The sequence below is a fragment of the Homo sapiens genome, chromosome 11, assembly GCF_000001405.40.
Source record: "Homo sapiens chromosome 11, GRCh38.p14 Primary Assembly".
NCBI classification, from domain to species: domain Eukaryota; kingdom Metazoa; phylum Chordata; class Mammalia; order Primates; family Hominidae; genus Homo; species Homo sapiens.
Genome location: NC_000011.10, coordinates 84015128 through 84035632, shown reverse-complemented (window position 1 = coordinate 84035632; position 20505 = coordinate 84015128). Strand labels below are relative to the sequence as shown.

General features: G+C 35.5%; 1 protein-coding gene across 53 annotated transcripts in view; it reads left to right on the top strand.

Annotated features, from left to right (window-relative positions):
• The window catches only part of DLG2 (discs large MAGUK scaffold protein 2), a 2173362-nt gene that overhangs the window by 1592741 nt on the left and 560116 nt on the right, over positions 1-20505 (top strand). The window contains exon 6 of one of the 53 annotated variants that reach the window (NM_001377983.1): positions 14038-18247. The exons of the other annotated variants lie outside the window; for them this stretch is intronic. Coding sequence (NP_001364912.1) covers positions 14038-14078 — 41 coding nt within the window. The 3' untranslated portion in view covers positions 14079-18247. Of the gene's footprint in view, positions 1-14037; positions 18248-20505 lie in introns of those variants that run through there. 53 annotated transcript variants of the gene reach the window in all.

Here is a 20505-nt window from a genome sequence, read left to right as displayed (position 1 = left end):
CTCCACAGCCTTACCATAGTTTGCCAGCCCCTGGCTACCTCTTTGGCTTCATCTTCCATCAATTTCCCCTTGCCCATGCACCTTCAATAACACTAGCTTTCTTACAACTGTTTCAAAGTTCTAAGTATGTTCCTGCCTACAGCTTTTGTAGTTGGCTATTCTTTGTGCCTGTAACACACTTTTCATGTGGCTTTCTCTCTTTATTAAGGGCTTTATTTTTCCTCATAGTATGTATCACAACCAAACATTGTATTATAAATATATGTATTTGTGTACACTAGAATATAAGCTCTAGGAGGGTAGAAAACTTTGTTTTGTTCACTGCTATGCCCCCAAGAACCTACAACTTAATCAAAGCAGCTCTCACACAGAGTAAGTACTCAATAAGTGTTGGATACATGAGAAAAATAGAGTTGTAATAGGAAAGAATTCTGTCATTCCAGAAGGCAGAGGTAGGGAGAGTAGGTGTTACTGGGCAGCAGACCTTGGCTTAGCGGACAGAAAAGCTTGAGAAAAAATGAACAGTACCTGACTCTAGAGGATGAGGCTTTGTAACGTAGTGAGTTCTCTGTTACCAGAAGGGTTCAAGCAGAGGTTGGAAAGGTCTTGTTCTACAGGGAAGCTCCATTTGGGTCATCTCTTAAGCCGTGTTCACCTATGTTGGAGAAGAAAAGGCAGAGAAAGAAAAGCTTGCATTGATTGATTGGATAATAGAGGCATGAGGTAATTTATTCACAGATATAATCATTTAAGGTCAATCTGCAAAATGTTCCCCAGAAAAAGATACCAGGTGGCTTCTCACTTCATCCACACTCAATTCCAGGACACCAGACAGGCTTGTTATTGTATCTATAAGGAGGCTTTCTGATTTACAGAGGGCAGCAGTCCCCTGATTCTCTTGCTGCACTCTGGCTACTTGCTGTCTCCTATCAGATGATGGATATAGTCCACTGGATGCAAATTTACTCTGTTCCTGCATTTCAGCCTTTAGATGAAAGAACTTCCCAGAACCACATTGCTCATCCATTCTAAATCATATTGAGGCAAGACTGACCTCTGCCTAGGTTTTTAAGCTGTAAAGGATTCACTGAAAGGTTATTATAGTATGATATATTATGTGGGATATTCAAGGAAAAGCTTCAAAATTTTTGAAAAAATTTATATATGCATACCTCAGAGATATTGCAGTCTCATTCTAGACCACTGCAATAAAGTGAATATCATAATAAAGCAAGTCACATAATTTATTTTTGTTCCCAGTACATGTAACAGTTATGTTTACACTATACTGTAGTCTATTGAGTATGCAACAGTATTACATCCAAAAAAACCTTAATTAAAAAATACTTTATAACTAAAAAATGCTAATGATCATCTGAACCTTCAGTGAGTCAATCATCTTTTTCTGGCAGAAGATATTGCCTCAGTGTTGATGGCTGCTGACTGATCAGGGTGGTGGCTGCTGACTGATCAGGGTGGTGGTTGCTGAAAGATGGGGTGGCTATGGTAAATTTTATTTTATTTTATTATTTTTATTTATTTATTTATTTTGAGACCGAGTTTCGCTCTTGTTGCCCGGGCTGGAGTGCAATGGCATGATCTTGGCTCACCGCAACCTCCGCCTCCTGGGTTCAAGCGATTCTCCTGCCTCAGCTTCCTGAGTAGCTGGGATTACAGGCATGTGCCAACATGCCCGGCTAACTGTTTTTGTTTGTTTGTTTGTTTGTTTGTTTTTGTTTTTGTTTTTTGTATTTTTAGTAAAGACGGAGTTTCTCCATGTTGGTCAGGCTGGTCTTGAACTCCTGGCCTTAGGTGATCTGCCCATCTGGGCCTCGCAAAGTGCTGGGATTACAGGCATGAGCCACCGCGCCCGGCCCGGCTGTGGCAAATTTTAAAACTAAGACACTGAAGTTTTCCACAGTAATTGACTCTTCCTTTCAGGAAAGATTTATTTGTAGCATGTGGTACCGTTTGGTAGCGTTTTACCCACATTAGAACTTCCTTCAAAATTGGAGTCAGTCCTCTCAAACCCTGCTAATGCTTCATCAACTAAATTTAGGCAATATTCTAAATCCTTTGTTTTCATTTCAACAATATTCACATCTTCACCAGAGGAGTAGGTTCCATCTCAAGAAACCACTTTCTTTGCTTTTTCCTGAGAAACAACTCTTCATTTGTTAGTTTTATTACGAGATTGCAGCAATTCAGTCATATCTTCAGGATCCATTTATAATTCTAGTTCTTTGGCTGTTTCCACTACATCTGCAGTTACTTCTCCACCAAAGTCTTGAATTCTTCAAAGTCATCTGTAAGAGTTGGAATCAACTTTTTTCAAACTCCTGTTTTTGTTGAGACTTTGACCGCCTCCCATGAATCATGAATCTTCCTAATGGCATCTGGAAGATTGTCAATTTACTTTACTCAGATGCATCAGAGGAATCACAATTTATGGCAGCTATAGCTTTCTGAAAGTATTTCTTAAATAATAAGACTTTTAAAAATTAAAATTACCCCTTGATCCATGGGCTGTAGAATGGATATCGTGTTAGTGGACATGAAAACATTAATGTTTTTGCACATCTGCATAAGAGCTCTTGGTGACTAGGTGCATCGACAATGAGCAACAATATTTTGAAAGAAATCTTTTTTTCTGACCAGTGCATCTCAAGAGTAGGCTTAAAATATTCAGTAAACCATGCTATAAACAGACGTGATATCATCCAGGCTTTGCAGTTTCATTTATAGAGTACAGGCAGAGTAGATTTAGCATAATTCTTAAGGGCTCCAGGATTTGGGGATTGGTAAATAAGCATTGGCTTCCACTTAAAGTCACCAGCTCCATAAACCCTTACCAGGAGAATCAGCGTGTTCTTTGAAGGCTTGGAGCTAGGCATTGACTTCTCCTCTCTAGCTACGAAAGTCCTAAATGTCATCTTCTTCCAATACAAGGCTGTTTTGTCTACATCGAAAATCTGTTGTTTAATATAGTTGCCTTCATCAATGATCTTAGGTAGATCTTCTGGATAACTTGCTGCAACTTCTCTACCTCAGCACCTCCTGCTTCACCTTGCACTTTCATGTTAAGGAGATGGCTTATTTCCCTAAACTTCACAAATTAACCTCTGCTAGCTTCAAACTTCTCTTCTGCAGTTTCCTCACCTCTTTCAGCCTTCACAAACTTGAAGAGATTTAGGGCCTTGCTCTGGGTTAGGCTTTAGCTTAAGAGACTGGTGTGGCTAGTTTGATATTTATCTCGACCACTAAAACTTTCTCCACATCAGTGATAAAGCTCTTTTGCTTTCAATGGAGTCACACTTTCAATTTCCTTCAAGAACTCTTCCTTTGTATTTACAACTTGGCTGTTTGGCATAGGAGGCCTAGCTTTCTACCTACCTCAGCTTTCAACATGCCTTCCTCACTAAGCATAATCATTTCTAGATTTTGATTTAAAGGATATGTGTGTGATTACTCCTTTCAATTGAACATTTGGAGGCCATTTAAGGGTTATTATTTAGCCTCGGGGTCTTGGGGAATAGGGTAAGCCCAAGAAGAGGGAGCGAGAACAGGTAAGGACATATTTTTGGTAGAGTAAGAACACACACATTTATCAGTTAAGTTCATCATCTTATATGGGCATATTCTGTGGCACCCCAAAACTATTGTGATAGTAACATCAATGACCACTGATCACATGTTACTATATCAGATATAATAATCATTAAAAATTTTGAAATACTATGAGAATTACCAAAAAAAATGTGACACACGACGTGAAGTGAACACACACTGTTGGAAAAATGGTGCCAATAGACATGCTTGATGCAGGGTTAGCACAAACTTTCAATTTGTAAAAAATGTGGTATCTGTGAAGTATACTAAAGAGAAGGGCAATAAAATGAGATAGGCCTGTACTATGTTTTTGAAAGAATATTTCACTGGAAAGAGGGAGCAGAGAAATCATACATATGAAGCACCTATTGTGTAACAAATGTTTAGATCGTTGCCATTCGTTAACTTTCAATGCTGTGTGAAGCCTTGTACATACATTCATACCTAGTTTACTGAATAAGCTGGACTTAGTAAGGTAAAAGCAGAAACCAACTTCATTGTTTTCTCTCTGCCTTCTCACAAACCCCTCTAGGAATTAATTCATCCCTCCTTTTGATACAATCTCAGGCAGATCATTTATTATAATAAAATCTACTCAAGTCTAATAGTCTCATAAGTTTAACACGGTCAAATGCAAAATAAAAACTATGAACCCTTATTTGACTTAAAATGTATCCTTTTCCCCAACCTTATCCTGCTTCAGGCCAAAAAATCTACAACAGAGAAGGGAATAAGATTTAATTCTTTTTTCAACCTATTTGCTTCCTATATTCATTTTTTTTTTTTTTTTTACCTTTCTGGAATAGAGGAGAGATGAGAGAGCAATCATGGGAAAAGTACTTAGTTTTATGGGTGGTATAATTGTAATTTAGTTTCAATACCCTTCTGGTGATAGATGTATAATCTGCAGGTCTTTATCCTTTCTGGGGCTTTTCTGGGTTCATCTGAGTTCCTCCTGCTGGCAAACTCAAGACTATGGTTTTCCGGATAGAACTGAGCTCTCCTCCTGCTGACAAAACTATGGTTTTCTGGATGGAAGCAAGGCTTCCTTTGGATGACCACATTTAACTATCTCTTGTCCCTGAGCTTCCACTGGTCCACCCCTCTATTGAGATTCAGGCAGTCATCTTGAATAGAGTCTCTTTAATGAGCACCCCTTGTCAGTTTCCCTCCTCTCAACTCATATCTAATTCATGGGAAACATACATTTTCCCTGTTGTTAGAAGAATTCCAGCTCCTCTCCAATGCAGCTCCCAATCTTCCTTCTGTTTTCAGGTAGAAGAACTCTAACCTTAGTCTATCACATATTTTTTCAGGAGGAGGCAACTATCTGGATTTATGATCCTCGCAATCTGGGAAACATATCATGAATTCTGAGTCAACCCATTGAACCCCTTTCTCTAAACTTGGGTTGAGGAGAATGCATCCCTCTCTCTTCCCCTTTAAGAGAGTACAGATAAAAATATTGTTAATTCAATGTTTTCCAAAGGAATTTTCTTTTTTTAGTTTCTTCAACTTCACCTTCCATAAAGGTATGTGTTGGAGGCCATGGAAGGGCATTGATCAGCTAAGACTGACAAAACAAGTTTGAGATCTTCTTTTCAACTTGTATATCATAGCTATTTATAGTTCTATGCTTTTGAATATGGGAAAATTGGGGGAGTTATTCAAAAACTCTAACCAATAGGAAGCATTATATTTAAGATGCCATTTTATGTTAATTTGTTCTTTCAAACAATCCTATGTGGATTGAGGATTTTCCTCAATTATCAGTAATGTAATAATAGTGTCTACCTGTAGGATTATTATGATTTTATTTGATAATTGAGGAAAATTGGTCCCAGAAAAGTTAAGTTACTAGAAGGTCATACAATTTATATTGGTGAGTGAAAAATACACCATCTCTGTCCTCAAAACACTCATTTATTTGGGGGAGACGGAAGGTAAATTAATATGTAAGGAAACAAATGTGTGAGAGAGACAAATAGATAAAGATACAGATATATAGATACAGATATATGTGTATGTATGTGTATATATATTACTTGTAAATTAGGAAATGCTGTAAGGATAAAAGCAGGGTATAATGATAACTGAAATGAACAGAGGTCAAGGAAGGCCTTTTCAGAAGGTGATCATTAAACTGAGTCATTATGTATAATATTTCCTTAAGTATGTTGTTTCCTTATGAAATATAGGAAGAGAACACTTCATGCAGAAATACCAACAGGCGCAAAAGCCCCAAAGTAGAAAAGAGCATGGTCAGAACAGAGCACAGGCCTAAACCTAGTGAAGTGTGAGAGAAGTTGCAAGAGGCATAGCTGGACAGATAAGTGGGCCAGAAGACAGGCGAGAGTCCTGGGACCTGCCACTTAGAGTTGTGTGGACTTTTATTATTATTATTGCTTCTCAAATATGCAATATGTATTTTTACTGTATTATTCATATCACTTGTTTCCCTTTCATCGGTAAAGCTCATCCACTCCAACTAATACTCTATGATTTATCTCTCTTGGAGGAGGAGTGCACTCCCTTCCTACCCATGTCCCATTTTAGCATATGACCTTAAATTTTCGCTCGCTTTTGAGATTTTTTTTTCTCATTTCTGCAAAGAGTGTGAATTTCATTAGGACAAGGAAATGTGGATGATGTGTCCTTTGCTTCTGTATGGTGAGCATTCAACTGGTAATTGAACATTGATCTTATTTACATTAAGATTTGGATAGAAGTAGGGTATTAATCTGAGTATAAAGAAGAGATTATACTATCTTTTTTATTGGTGGTCAGTGTTTTGAAGCATTTTCTTTTATTTCTGGCAGACTCCACAATTCCAATAGGAAAATAGTAACTGATTGAGCTTCTAGTTTTTAATCCTGAAAAGAAAATACTAATTTGAAAAGAAATATAGGTATAAATTGCTAATATACTGCAGTAATCCTGTGTAGAGTTAGAAAAGGTGCCATATCCTGACTTTTAGATTTACTTACTTTATAACAGTAATTGTTTAAAGTTGATTTGTTCATTCATTCATTTAATCATTTAGAGCTTATTATATAACAGATATTTTGTAAGAAGATAGAGCTATAAAGAAAATTTTTAAAAATTTTTCTGAAATTTTCTTCAAGAGGCTCACACCCTACTGGGAAAGTAGACATGTAAATAGTTAGATCATTTTGAGTACTAATCAAGAAGAGTGTCATAGAAGAGACATAAAAGAAGGAGAGGTTATTGCTACCTGGGAGAAAAGGAAGGTTGAACTGAGGCTTGAAAGATAGGTGGAGATTTTCCAGGGACAAGAAGTAGTTTGGAGAAGGGCACTCCAGCCAAAGGAATTTTCATGAAGCAAAGACCTTAATAGGCAGGAGGCCATGGTAAGGAGTAAGAATGGGCACATTTAAATTATATGGCTTCAAGAGAGAATTCATCTGTAATTGGTCTAATGATAAAACCCAGCAAACCTTTTTATCATGTGTGTTTGCATCTGTTGAGTTCTCTGAAGGTTGTGAAAAAATAAGCCTACCACTCACTCATGTTCAAAAAAAATTATTTCATGGTTCAAGGATCAGTGTTACAGAGTTTCACTTTGAGATGAATGTGATAGAGACTAGATTGAGTTTTGTTTTGTTGTTGTTTTCTTTCCTGTGATTAATCATGAGCAAGCCAAATAGTCAAAATTCATATTAATAACCTAGTTCTCATAACTTTGAGAGGATTATTAATTCATGAATATGAGATCACATGAAGGACAGATATTATCAATACACACAAATCATGACTCTATATTTGTTCGACTCTCTATGTCATGATCAGAGTTTTGTTTGACTCTGTACATTATTATCATAGTTAATATTTGAAATGAAGAGAGATTTTTTGTTGCTGTTATTGTAAAAGCATAGTTTTACAATGAGGTCTTCTATTTTGGTTTGCTCTCTCTAGAATACAGTGATAGGTGTTTTGTTTTTTTTTTTTTTAATCTGGACAAGTAAACAGAACTAATAAGAAAATACATTGGTTATACTTTTCCACTTGGGAATGAATTACAGAATCAGAATGTTGTCACTGGTAGATTATTGGCAGTCAATTGTCCTTCTGTACATTCTTATTTCTATTTTTAGAAACAAAATCAAATATACAAACATTTTATTGAAAAATGCTCTGGAATTTTAAATAGACCTACATTATTTTACAAATCTTTGTGTTATGGAAGGAATATCACTCTGAACTGCCATGAAGGAGTAAAATTTTAAACATCATTCTTGAGTCTACTAAGTGATATCCAACTTTTGCTGAATTAATATACAAAGTTAAATATTGGCCAACTGATAAAGATGAGGGTGAGAGTTAATAAGTGAATGGTAATATCAATCATTTATCCCAAAAGGTGTTTCTCCCGATGCATGTTCATTACTTACTTTTTGTAAGTAATATGTTTATAACACTTTCATGTTTAAAGTTGATTTATCCATTATTCATTTAATTGTCTAGAGCTTATTATATGGTAGCTATTTTGCAAGAAGAGCTATAAAGAATTTTTTTTTAAATTTGTCTCAAATTTTCTTCAAGAGGCTTCATGTTTTGATCATTGTATATTCATTATGAAAAAATATGATTGCTCTTACCTTTGTCTTCACTATCAATTAAGAAAAGAATGATGAGCACAAGTATGATACATGTCCTAAGTAAGCAGCATATATGCACAAATCAAACATGAGTTAGTAGTTGCCAAAACTTTACTGTAGGAGTGGAAACTCTGCTTTTATTTTTCTAATAAAATCTTAACCAAATCCTATGTCCATTTAAAGCAAAGTTACTTTAATTGAAGCAGAAGTGAGAGACCTGAAGCCCTACTTAGCTACAACCCTGTGCCCTTGGGGTCAATAGTTAATTTTGAGTAGTAGTTCTATCCCACCATCTCCAATACCTTTGTTACCCACAGTGGCCATCCCTGTAGCTGGGGAACCTCCTAGCACCCCAGTTTATTTTAGACCCACCCTAAAACCCATTGACACTTGATTTGAAGAGTAATATAAAAGAAGACCGAGGGCCTAAAAAATATAATAATAAGGAATATAATAGAAATAATAATTCTACAGATATAAAACGCTTTTTGAGCTTTTTCTTAATGCCAAAGTTGTACACAACTCTTTCATGCCCAATTTACAGATGGAAAAATTAAAAGATTTAACAATTTTCCCAAGTTCACAAATTTAAAAAATAGTGAATTTTGGGATTTGAACTTAAGCCTGTTAGAATCCAAAGCCTATGTTCCATTAGATGGATTATTTTTGGTTAAATTTCTTCCACATTAGCCCACTGGGAATATGGAGTGGGGAAGGTTAAGTGTGTTCATTTATTCATTGAGTCAATAAACAAACATTAATTTAGTTAGGCACTATATCTATAGATATATAACTATAAGTGTGGAACTGTAAAGGTGATTAAACAGAACATTATGTGTCTTTACAGTACTTATTTATAATTCTATCTTCTTTACCAATAAATTATAGACTTAAATATTTTGCTTATTTCTCTGATCCTCCATTCTCTGTAAAGGTTGGATAATAAACTATGCAAGTCCTGAAGTCTCTTTCAGCTCTATGATTTTACAAGTCTAATCGTTATAAGGCCACAGTATTGTATTATACTAACTACCTTTCCCCTAAAGGAGTCTAGTATGGTCCTAATTCCATGACTAGGGTGGTTTCTGCTAAACACACAGGTCTTTTCCAAACCAGGCACGACTCCTTTAAATGCACAGTATTTGTGTCACTTCAGTGGGAGGTAAAAGCCTTTACTCCCCGTTAGCTTTTTGTACTATATTATAAGCTGCAAGGTCAACCTCAGTAGAGTTCATTCCTTATGTCTTACAACTCTGCCTTGGTGCCTCTACTATTTTCCTCCCTCCGTCCTATAACTTCTCTTGCTAGGACTCTTCATGTCAGCATACCATCATACATCTATGCACCTCATCCCTCAAATCAGCCTACTCATTTCAATTTCTTCTGGAAATAATTTTTTTTAAGTTTCAGAAGTAGAAAAATAAACTAATTTTAACTACTTTGTTTTATTTTGTTTTCTTTCCTGTCTGATCCAACCCTCTCCTCTTCTCTTTTTTCTTGGAAACATGTTGTCAATATAAGAATGCTTACACAATTTGGCTTTGGTCCTTTCTTTCTTTGTCTGGATGCTGTTTGACTCATAAATGCTGGCAAAAGCAGGAGACAGAAGACAAAATATCTGTTCCACGTTATGGTATATGGTAAAAAATCAACTGCTTTGTAGCACCTTGAACAGAAAAGTCAGTTATAAATACTTTAATAAAATATGGTGTTTGTTATTTTTAGGTTTCAAGCCAGCAGAGTTGTAAACTGGCGTGTGACTGGAGAAAAAGGTTTCCATTCATGTTTCTAGAAGAATATTCACAATGAGATTTTAAAAGTTTTCAATTCAAATAAATCATGATACCATAATAAAACATTTATTAGTGAGTATTTCTATATATTCAAAGAACCATATTCAAGTATTCTTAATTTCCCATTGTATTATGAGGAGCTGATATGGTTTGGCTGTGTCCCCATCCAGATCTCATCTTGAATTCCCAAGTGTTGGGGGAGGGACCCAGTGGGAGGTAATTGAAACATGGGGGCAGGTCTTTCCTGTGCTGTTGTTGTGATAGTGAATAAATCTCAAGAGATCTAGTAGTTTTACAAGGGGGAGTTTCCCTGAACAAGTCTCTCTTTGACTGCTGCCATCCACATAAGATGTGACTTGCTCCTCCTTGCCTTCCACCATGATTGTGAGGCCTCCCCAGCCATGTAGCACTGAGTCCATTAAACCATTTTCCTGAATAAATTAAAAATAAATTGCAACCACCAACTGACCCATCAACCAACCTACAACTAAAAGGTCCTGTGAATGACAAACAGATACACTGAATAGTCTTTTTTTCTTTCAACAGAGAAAACTGGGTTTAACTTTATTTTTTATTGTCAACTGACAACTTATAATTGTATAAATTTATGGCATACAAAGTGATATTATAACTTATTAACACAATGTGGAACAATTAAGCTAGTTAATATATCTGTCACCTCAAATACTTAACATGCCTTGTGGTGAGAACATTTGAGATTTAGATTTTGAAATATACAATAGTCTATTATTAACTATATTCACCGGGTTTGGCAATAGAACCCAAAAAAAAAAAAAGAAAAAATATATTCCCCCTGTCTGAGATTTTGTACTCTTTAACCATCATCTCCTCATTCTCCTCACCTCCACCCTCTGTAACCACCATTCTACTCTCTGCTTTGATGAGTTCAGTTGTTTTCAATTCTACATATAAATGAGAATATAGAGTGTTTATATTTGCTGGACTTATTTTGCTTAACATAATGTTCTCCAATTCCATCTATGTTGTCATGAATGACACAATTTCTCCTTTTTAAAGGGTGAATCATATTCCATTATTTATATAAACCACATTTTCTTTATCAGTTTATCTCTTAATGGACACTTAGGTTGATTCTATAACTTGGCTATCATTGTTTCCGTGAACATGAGGTGGCTGATATCTCTTTGACTAACTTCAAAATATTTTGTGTAAACAAACAGAAGTGAGACTGCTGGATCATATGATAATTCTGTTTTTAGTTTTATTTATTTGCCTGTGATGCTGCTAGGCTGCAAGGCTGTATTTCTTCTGTTGACCCTCAATCTGCACTAAAGATGATAAGGACCTTTAGTTAGATGTGTGTTTCTGAGATTATTAACTATAGGTCAGAGAGTTTGATGCATTTTTTACCATATGAGAGAGTTAGGAATGCAGTGCTTTCTCGTGCCTTCAGATCCCTAGACTTCTCTTTGCAGGAAAGCATGTATTGTTGACCCTTAAACAATGTAGGGTTGGGGTTCAGATACCAGCACAATTGAAAATCCACATATCACTTTTGATTCCCCCAAAACTTAACTATGAACAGCCTACTAGTATTCATTGACAGGAAGCCTTGCCAGTAACATAGTCAATTAACACATATTTTGTATGTTATATGTATTATATACGATATTCTTATAATGAAGTAAGTGAGATAAAAGAAAATATTAAGAAAATCATAAAGAAGAGAAAATGTACTTGGTGTTCATTAAGCGGATTATTGTAAAGGTCTTCATCCTAATCATCTTCACATTGAGTAGGTAAGGAGAAGGATGAAGAGAAGGATTTGGTCTTGCTGTCTGAGATATTTTCTGGTAAATAATAAATAGAAGAGTATATCCCTATATTTTATGCATTTATGACATACCTAACTTTATATTAAGTGTTTGCAATATTTCTAGGCTATGCAGTTCATCTGTGGGGTTTTTCCAATTGTCACAAATCTCCAAAAAGTTTTCCAATATATTTATTGAGAAACCATCTGCATATAAATGGGCCTATACAATTTGAACCCATGTTATTGAATGGCCAACTGTACTATTATATAGAGTAGAAGTAGAAATAAAACTATTTACTTGGCTGTGAAGCCAAGTAAATCTAGGTTCAAATCCTGGCTTTTCTACTTGCTACTTTAGTGAACTCAGGTGATGTCTTTAAATATTATCAAGCTTTTATAAAATAGAGATAATAGAAACAACATTATCTATAGGTTTGTTATGAAGATTAATTAACCCAGTTATTGCTCAATGTTTGTCTTTATTGCTGTTATTACCAAATAGCATGACTTCGACTTTTGATTATGGTAGCTAGGAAATCATTACCAGTCAATATCATTTAGGAAAATGTTCAGGAATCAACTTATTGAATACTACATTTAAGAACTGTTTTTTGTTTGGTGATCTTTTATTTCAAAACAGTTTACTTAATTTTTGGCAGACTATTTATAATTTTAGTAGTGAAATAACTCATTGAATCTTCTAGTTTTTATCCCCACTCCCCAAAGACCATGGGTATCTTCAGGTTGGATTGATAGTATTTTTAAAAAGAGAAAAATAAAGATAAATCACCATTTTTTTTGTATCCTACTGCTTACATTTATTATCTGCTTTAATTCTCAAAACAACACAAGATTAAAAAGCTGCCTTTTCAAATAACAGCTCTTGCTACTACATCATTGTTTCCCCTCCTTGAATCCTGGATTATAACAGGAGAGATTTATTGCTCCTTGAGGAATTCCATTAACATTTTGGCTACCACCTTTGAAAACCTGCTTGTTTAATATACTTTAACCCCTAGATGTATTTTTTAAAAGCATGTTTTGCAGTCTACTTCCCACCACCCTACTCCCCCCAAAAAAAGTTTCTGATGTTTCTTCCTCCATTTTTCTACTTTTTCATTTTCCAAAATATTATCTCAAAAAGAACCGTTCTTTCAGTATTAAAAGATATGCTTTTGCTCAAAAGTCAGATAATGCAAAATGATTTCTGCCTCACTAACATTTCTTTGTTTTCTTTGGAGAAGAGAATGAAGAAGAGGTTTTTCCTCTCCTGCTAGCAGCTGAGTCCTTTTGTTTGGCTGGCCCAGTGAGGCTTTTGTTTCTATAGAAGAGAGCCCTGTTATTTCTCAAAAGCTTTTGTGTGCAACACTTCCTCCTGTGTTTCTGCTCACCCAGCACATTTTGCAGGAGTAAATGTCAAAAAGACTAAGTGTTGTTGAGCTTGGTTGTGTTTTATGATGTTGTTGTTCTCCCTACAAATCTTTTTATGAACAGAGACTGAATTCTGTTGCTGGATAGTGGATGTGTTGGCCATTCTGGTTTTGTTTGTTTGATTTTGGTGTTTTGGGGTCAGAGAAAAGGATGCCCCGAATGTTTTTAACAAGCTTTTCCTGTGAGTCCTGCTGTTTCTGACAAATTCCTGGAATCTGACAGAAGGGCATCTGTGGATATAATGGTGGTAACACTTGAAAGTATTTTTCATCTGTAATGGTGCCTGCATTGAAGGTTGCTTCTTTCCTGATGTGTTCAGTAAGAAGCGGTTGTTTTGTCCAGGTGGGGTGACTCACACCTGTAATCCCAGCACTTTGGGAAGCCGAGGCGGGCAGATCATCTGAGGTTGGGAGTTTAAGACCAGCCTGACCAACATGGAGAAACCCCGTCTCTACTAAAAATACAGAATTAGCCAGGTGTGGTGGCACATGCCTGTAGTCCCAGCTACCTGGGAGGCTGAGGCAGGAGAATCGCTTGAACCCGGTAGGCGGAGGTTGAGGTGAGCCAATTGCACTCCAGCCTGGGCAACAAGAGCGAAACTCCATCTCAAAAAAAAAAAAGAAGTAGTTGTTTTTCTCAATAACAATGAGAAAAAAGTGAAATAATATACTCAGGTTTAAAAAATTCGCTAATATGTAACTTATTTCCCCAGTTTGATGTTACCAGATATCATCCAATGTATCTAGACGGCAGTGATTTCTTTCTCTACCTGGAATTCCACCCACAGGTACTGTCATGGACTCATACTTCCTAAGCAGTTGCTGCTGACAAGCATATCAGAGAGGAGTATCCTATTATTAGCAGCTGCTTAAGGACCAGACTGGAAGAAGTTCTAAGACCTGTCAGCTCCTTCTCTTGAGAACTACTGCAGCAGCACAACCAGGGTCAGCTCTTTCGTCAAGAATAGGTTGAAACATGAACTTTTGGGGAGAAAGGGCTTATAACAGATTGTAAATCATTTTTTTTTTTCTTTCTCAGCTTGGTGAAGTTGAAATAGTACAGGTTTGGTTGTCAGATTAGGTTCAGTTGCTGGATATGATTCTTATTTGTACATGTCCATTAACATAGAAATTCTGAGTCTCAGTTACTTTTTCTGTAAGATGAGAATAACAGTAATACCAATGTTAAAGTGTGGCTTTCTGGTTTAAGTAATGTAATAGTATATAAAGGGGCTAGAAAATAGGTACTGGGCACCCAGTAGATATTCCACAAATGGCAGTTCTTATTATATGTGTTCTAGAGTTAAATACTCATCTCTATAGTCCCTCCTTCTGTTTCTGTAACTTTCTATACCCTTTCTATATTGTTTGCTGATTTGGGACATCAATCTGCCCAAGGCCTACTGATTTAGGAAGAAAGTGTGTGGGCCCAGCTCTCTTAGTGTTAGGGCCACTTAAAGTAGTATCCATAGTGAAAAAGTCACCCTCTAATTGCCCCAGTAATTGGCTCTAGCACTTTAAGGCTTTGAAAATTTTATAACCGAAAGAACTTCCCACACAATCTTTTAATGGCAATCGTTCTAATTTACGGGCTTTGTATGCCGTCCTGAGAGAGCTGAATGGAAGACATTATTGTGAAGGGGCTATGCAGATAGCAATACAAATGTCCTTGCCCACAAGGCATGAAAGACAAACACTGAAAATGAAAAAAGGAAAAATAACCAAGCAGTACACTTGCAGAAATAACTCTTATGACTTCAAAACATTAAAAATAAAACTGCTTTCCTGTGTGTCTGTCCTTGACAGTGATTTCATCTTTTTAGCTGCCTTTCAGCTTGTTTTATTTACAGCTGCGAAGGATACAAGCCACTGAATGAAGAGTACATTTTCTCTTTCTCACATTCAAATATTACATGTGTGTGTATAATATTAATTAAACATACAGTGGACTCATTTTTATTTATATACCTGTTTGTATGTATGTATGTAAGTATGTAGTGACAACATGAATGTATACTGCATGTATATGAATATATATACACACATATCATCTATATCTATATATATTTCGTAACATACACATATTCCTTTTCTGTTTCAGTGCAAGTCTTCCTCATGTATTTACTCAAAGGCATAAAGAATACCTAAATATTAACAACTTCAATATATACCTGGATTTATAACCTTGATGTACAAAATTCTCTGCCTTCTCAAATCCCCTTTTCCTTTAATATCCCAATTTAGAGTTCAAGCCCCCAGCTTGAAACCTCCAGTGCCTCCTCAGCATTTCTCACAGTTGTCTCCTGGCCACCTCTAGTCCTGAAGTTCCTTAGCCATCCCCCACAGGCAAGTTCTCCATGTGCTTTTCCCTGTAGTCCAGAATCTGCCATCTTCTTCCTCTGGCATGCCCTCTCTCTGTGTTAGTTTGCTACAGCTGCCATAACAAAGTACCACAAATTAAGTGGCTTAAACAACAAAGTTTGTGTCTCATACTTCTGGAGGGTACAAGTCTGAGATCGAGATATTAGCAAGGTTGTTTCCTTCTGAAGACTGTGAGAGAGAATCTGTTCCATGACTCTCTCCCAGCTTCCAGTAGTTTGCCGGAAATCTTTGGCATTCCGTGGCTTAGGGATGAATCACTCTTCTTTCTCCTTCGGTCTTCACGTGTCATTCTCCCTGTATGCATGTCTGTTTCTGTGTCCAAATTTTCCATTTATTAAAACAAACACAGTTTCATTGGATTAGGGACCACTCTAATAACTTCATCTTAACATAATCATCTTCAAACACCCTATTTCTAAATAAAGTCACAGATACTGGAGATTAGAACTTCACCATCTTTTGGGAGAACAAGATTAAACCCACAACACTCCCTCTCTCAAAAAATCCTCCTTACGTCTTTTCGCTATGTATCTACCAGGGAAACATTCAAAATTCATGATCTGTTATTTTGTAGAGAAATGTACCTTTCTTTGTTTCACCCTTCTAGTTCATTCTTGGGGCCTATTTTGACAGAATTAAAATTTTCAATATAAACTTGGACTTATAACCTTGAGGTCACAAAACTCTGCCTTCTAGAATCACCCTTTCCTTTAATATCCTGGTTAAGAGCTCAAACTCCTGGAAATACATAGAATTTTCTTTACTAAAAAACACAAATACATGCACACATAGAGAATACTGAACGGCATATTGTGTATGCATTTTTTTTACCATTTTGTTATTCAATAAAACACAGATACAGAAAAGCATACAAAATACATATTGTTTAATGTATTATTTTATATAATTATTATGAGACAAAAATCCTGTAACTACCACCTAGAACAAAAATAGAACTTTGCCAGCTACCAGAACACTTCTACATGCCTATTATAATCACAGTTCTTTCTCTCCTTCTGAAAGTAACCACTAATCTGACTTTAAAAGTAGTCCTTTATGTTCTTTTCATCTATTCCTTTATGTTTTAAGCTGGATGCTCTATTCCTATATGTTTTCCTGGATACACTATTTTAGTCTTGCCCATTTTTTTTTTAGCTTAATTTGTCTTTTCAGTCTTCTTTAATTTGTTGAATTCCACTCTATATTTTATTTACCTTATAGTTTATCTGCTGAAGAACTCAGGCCATTAGACCTATATAGTTTGCCAAATCTACTCATCTCTAATGTATACCCATAATATAGTTCAATATGTCTCTCTCTACTCTTTCAAAAAAGAAAAAAAAATGGCAGCTGGATCTAGAGGTATTATCAGACTCATGTGTGATCCCTTTGCTAGACTATAGGTGATGGCACGCCCTTTTATAATAAAGCAAGTAATATTATTTTCACCCTTTTTTACATTAGCAGCCATTAATGTTCAATTCTTAAGGTGATAATATTTCTATCAATTTTGTTTCTATTTATTATCTGGAATAATTTTGCAAAGAGCCATTTATCCTCATTTATTATAGTTGTAGAGCTTATATAAGAAAGGCATTGTAAGTGATTGATTCTTTTTTACTACTTACCCAGTTCTCAAGATAATGAGTTGTTTCCTTGTCATCTTGAAAGGTACAATTAGTTGTATTATTATGACTATTATTAAAAGTATTATTTTGAACTAATGAATTTAAACATAACTGAAATGAACAAAAAATGGATTAAGGAAAAGTGAACAGAGCTTCAGTGACCTGTACAGTAATACCTAGCAGTTTAATATATCTGTAACTGGATCCTCACTAGGAGAGGGAAGAGATAATGACCAGAAAAAAAGAAAAGAAAAAAAATTAGCTAAAATTTTCTCAAGTTTAATCAAAAACGTTAACATACAGATCCAAGAAGTTTCAAACAGGATAAATACAAACAAATAAAGCAAACTACTACCACAATGGATATAGAGACACTGCAGAAAACCAATGATAAAATAAAAGCAGTAAGAGAAAACAAATGCATTATAAAATAGAGAACCAGATAAGAATTATTCCTGACTTCTCATCAGAAACAACAGAGCCTAGAAGCCAATTGAATGGCATTTTTAAAGAGCTGAAAGATAATATGGAAAGTTAAAGTGCTTAGAACAGTGCCTGGCACATAGTAGGTACTAAATACTTTTTAAGTGTTGTAATTATTGTTATGAGCTTTATTTTCAATGTTCTTCTTTAAGACGATAGAGACCACTGAGTGAATATGGCATCCTTTTCTTAGTACTTAAAAGGACAATATAATGAGCTACTTTCTAAAAGAAAATGTAATTTTTGTGTGAAACACCAGGCCCCCAGGTGTCATGGTAGCTATTTCATTGATATTATTCCAAAAGAGCTAGCTAAATAAATGAAATTAAAATATCTGCATGAAATTTGTAGCTCTCTTTATTCAAGCACACATATATAAACTTCACTTTGATTAGATACATAATTTGTGAGATATTTTTCAAATATTTGATCTCAGAATAACAATTTAAAAATGGAAAAATAAATGCATTTTCATTTAAAAGCTTAATAAAGAATTCCTTTCCAATTGTGACTGATTTAATTTATATATAACATTGGTTTCAAAATCCTCTATGAGTACATTTTTATTCTTCTCTTTATTTGTTTATAATCATCTGTGAATTTGTAGGCAGAAGACTATACTTTATTATGTAATGCATTATTCAAATAGAGTAATATTTGAAAAGGCTATGCTTATTTACACAATTTTAAAAATACCCCTTTTTAAAATTCATTGGCTAGTTGTTCTCTTTGCTCTTCCCAGTTTGAAATAATAATTCTCTACAATGCTGAACTGACATACTTGTTTCCTCAAACTGCCATGCTATCTCTCTCCTTTTTTTTCCTTGAAGTCTTTGCATATGCTATGTTCTCTGTGTAGTACTCTCCCCAATACCACACTGGGTTGGCTCCTAATCTTCCTTCAGAATTCAACAGAAAAAGTTACTTCCATTGGGGAATACTCTCCTCTATGTTCTCAAAGTATGGTGTATTTATTCTCATCATTCTGTTTATTTAGGCAACATAGTATAATAATTAATACTGCAACCTTGACTCAGATTCTATGTAAATCTTGGTTGTACTAGATTCTTGCTGTATGACCTTGGGAATGTTTTACTTGATCTCTTGTCCTTTGTTTCCTCTTCAACAAAATAAGAATAATAATTGTACCTATCTTATAAGGTGATGTGGCAATCTAGAAAAGGTTAACAATGGAACAAAATAGAGAACCCAGAAATAAGACCATGCACCTACAACCATCTGATCATCAACAAACCTGACAAAAACAAGCAATGGGGAAATTATTTCTTATTTAATAAATGATGCTGGGAGAACTGGCTAGCCATAGGCAGAAAATTGAAACTGGACCCCTTCCTTATACCATATACAAAAATCAACTCAAGATGGATTCAGGACTTAAATGTAAAACCCAAAACTATAAAAGCCCTCAAAGACAACCTAGGCAATACCATTCAAGACATAGGCATGAGGAAACATTTTATGATGAAGACACCAAAAGTAATTGCAACAAATGCAAAAATTGACATATGGGATATAAGAAACTATCAACAGAGTAAACAGACAACCTACAGAATAGGAGAAAAATTTTACAATCTATCTATCTAACAAAGCTCTAATATCCAGTATCTGTAAGGAACTTAAACAAGTTTACACGAAAAAAATAACCACATTAAAAAGTGGACAAAGGACATGAGCAGACATTTCTCAAAGGAAGACAGAGGTGTGGCCAACAAACATGAAAAAAAAGCTCAACATCCCTGATCATTAGAGAAACGCAAATAAAAACCGCAAAGAGATACCATCTCACACCAGTCAGAATGGCTATTATTCAAAGGCAAAAAAACAACAGCTGCTGATGAGGCTGTGGAGAAAAAGGAATGCTTTTACACTGTTGGTGGGAGTGTAAATTAGTTCAACCATTGTGGAAGACAGTGTGAGGATTCCTCAAAGACCTAGGGCCAAAAGAATTCAACCTAGCAATCCCATTACTGAATATATACCCAAAGGAATATAAATCATTCTATTATAAAGATACATGCACATGTAAGTTCATTGTAGCACTATTCACAATAGCAAAGACATGGAATCAGCCTAAATACTGATCAGTGATAGACTAGATAAAGAAAATGTGGTACATATACACCATGGAATGCTATGCAGCCATAAAGAGGAACGAGGTCATGTCCTTTGCAGGGACATGGATGGAGCTAGAGGCCATTATTTTCAGCAAACTAACACAAGAACAGAAAACCAAATACCACCCGTTCCCACTTATAACTGGGAGCTGACTGATAAGAACACATGGACACATGGGGGGAAACAAGACACACTGGGGCCTGTTGGAGAGTGGGGAGTGGAAAAAGGGAGAGCATCAGGAAGAATAGCTAATAGATGCTGGGATTAATACCTGGGTGATGGGATGATCTGTACAGCAAACCACCATGGCACACCGTTACCTATGTAACAAACCTGCACATGCTGCACATGTACCCCTGAACTTAAAATAAAAGTTGGAAGTTTAAACAAAAAAATGTAAAAGGTTAATACACACAAGTCTTAGAAAAGTGCCTGGCAATGATAGTGCTAAGTCAGTGAGTGCTAATAGAGCTTTCATACGTAATCATCTTTCTACTTGGCACATGCTTCTTTATATTTAGTGATCAACTAATAATTATGATGTGAATGAATTAAGCCATAGTAGCCTCTGCTTATAAATTGTTTGTAAAATCAATCTAATTAATATTTATTGAGTACTGAGAATAT